Raw genomic sequence first — 1,783 nt, 5'->3', positions numbered from 1 at the left:
GACCACTCATGCCCTTGAGAACCTAAATCACTTTTCAACCCTCATTTTACCTGATGTCTTCACATTAGTTACATAGTCCCTCTTTTTTTCCACCCCTTTCGTTAACTCCATAGTTCTGTTTTTTTCTTTTTTCCTCCTTGTTCTTTTGTGGGTCTCCCTTCTTTACAGGACCTTGAAATATGGTAGTGTGCTGGGTTATAATCTAGGCCTCAACTTTACTCTTCCCTGGGGCTCGTCTCAGTGACTCATGGATGTGTATATTTAGCACAGAACTCCCTTGTGAGCTCCAGATTCATGTGCTTCTCTGCATATTTCCCTGACATCTGAAATTCAACTTGTTCAAAATTTCACTTGTGTTCTATTTATTCACCACATCACCAACCTGGCTTTTCTCTGGTGTTTGCTCTGAGGAAATGGCATCACTGTCAACTGAGGGGTTTGCCACGCATCTGGATGTTGTCTGCTTTTCCTTCCTCCCAGCTCACAGCAGTCACCAGGTCATGTCAACTTTACGTTACCTCCTCAACATCAGCCGACTTGTTCCTTTCTCTGCGTCCACTTCCTGTCATGGTCTCCTGGCCACTCTCTCCACTTCTGCTTTTGCCTCCTTTAATCCTCTCGCCTCACAGCAGCCACATGCATCTCCATGGGCTGAAATCTTCCCTCCAGTGGATTACCAGTGCTTTGAGTCAATTCCTAATATGAACCATCAAGCCTTACCTTGCCTATTTCTTTAACCTCATCTCCCTCTGTCCCCCATGATCTCTAGAGAGCAAACAGACAAGCTTCTTTCAAGTCCTTCACAGTGTGGTCTCCTTCCATCACTCAGACTTTGCCTGTGCTGTTCTCTTTCTCTAGCACACTCTTCCCACACTCACCCCACTCCCCTGTCTTGTTCCTACCCCTTCTTCAGGCCTCAGTTTAATTGTTATTTTCTTAAAGAAGCCTCTCCTCAATCTCTAGATTGTTAGGACACTTGTTCTATTTTCTTGTGGCACATTGCACTTTTCCCTCGCAGCATTTATCCACTCGACCTGAGTCATTATTTCTTCATGTGGTTAACAGACTGCTTGTGGGTACCGCAGAACAGTCCAGAGCACTGGTTCTGGAGTCAGACAGCACAAACTCAGATCCTAACTCTGCCATCCCATATCACTCCTCTGTGGTTTCATTTTCTCACCTGCCAAATGGGGTTAACAATAGCAACTATTTCACAGGGTCACTCTGGGCTTTAGATTAGATAGCAAGTAACTTATGCCTGGCACTCAATAAATATTAGGAAGGAAACTTTAGTAGATACTAAGTACTTGCTTGCTAAAAGAATGAATGTTTTTCATATAAAATGGAGATAACAGCATTTGCCCTGTAAACCCTTCAAGATGTATGTAAGATGAAATCAGTTTCTGAGTATGAAAGGCATTGTAACTTGTGTTAGGCTCTACAAACATGGGGTCCTCGTGTTGCTGTTTGTACTTCCCAGCCTTGACTTGTATTTTTCTTGACCAAAATGTCTTAGTGCCTCCATTTTGTTTTTAATAAGAGTGAAATGAAAACAGAATTGTAAACCCCATTGTCTTATATGTAAAAATGTTGTATCCAGACAGCAAAAGCTGCACTGCCCCCATTCCCAATAAGGAAAGACAGTGTAGCAAACACAAGACTCCCTCCCCAGGAGCATGCACAGAAAGCAGGGAAAAGAAACCTTCCCTAGGCTCTCCTTGAACTGTGTAAGCATAGCCTCCCTGACCCTAGGGCTGACAGTCTAGCATTTGATCCCCTGGGA

The 1,783-nt window shown here is 43.7% G+C and overlaps 1 annotated feature.

Annotated features, from left to right (window-relative positions):
- Window positions 751-800: an enhancer, noted in NCBI's record as "active region_8222". NCBI's record gives its function as "activates an Ori minimal core promoter by ATAC-STARR-seq in GM12878 lymphoblastoid cells {active_cell/tissue: GM12878}" and the evidence as "EXISTENCE:reporter gene assay evidence [ECO:0000049][PMID:35858748]".

The sequence above is a fragment of the Homo sapiens genome, chromosome 14 (assembly GCF_000001405.40).
Source record: "Homo sapiens chromosome 14, GRCh38.p14 Primary Assembly".
NCBI lineage: Eukaryota > Metazoa > Chordata > Mammalia > Primates > Hominidae > Homo > Homo sapiens.
The sequence above is the reverse complement of the archived record's forward strand: the minus strand, read 5'-3'. Positions and strand labels throughout refer to the sequence as shown.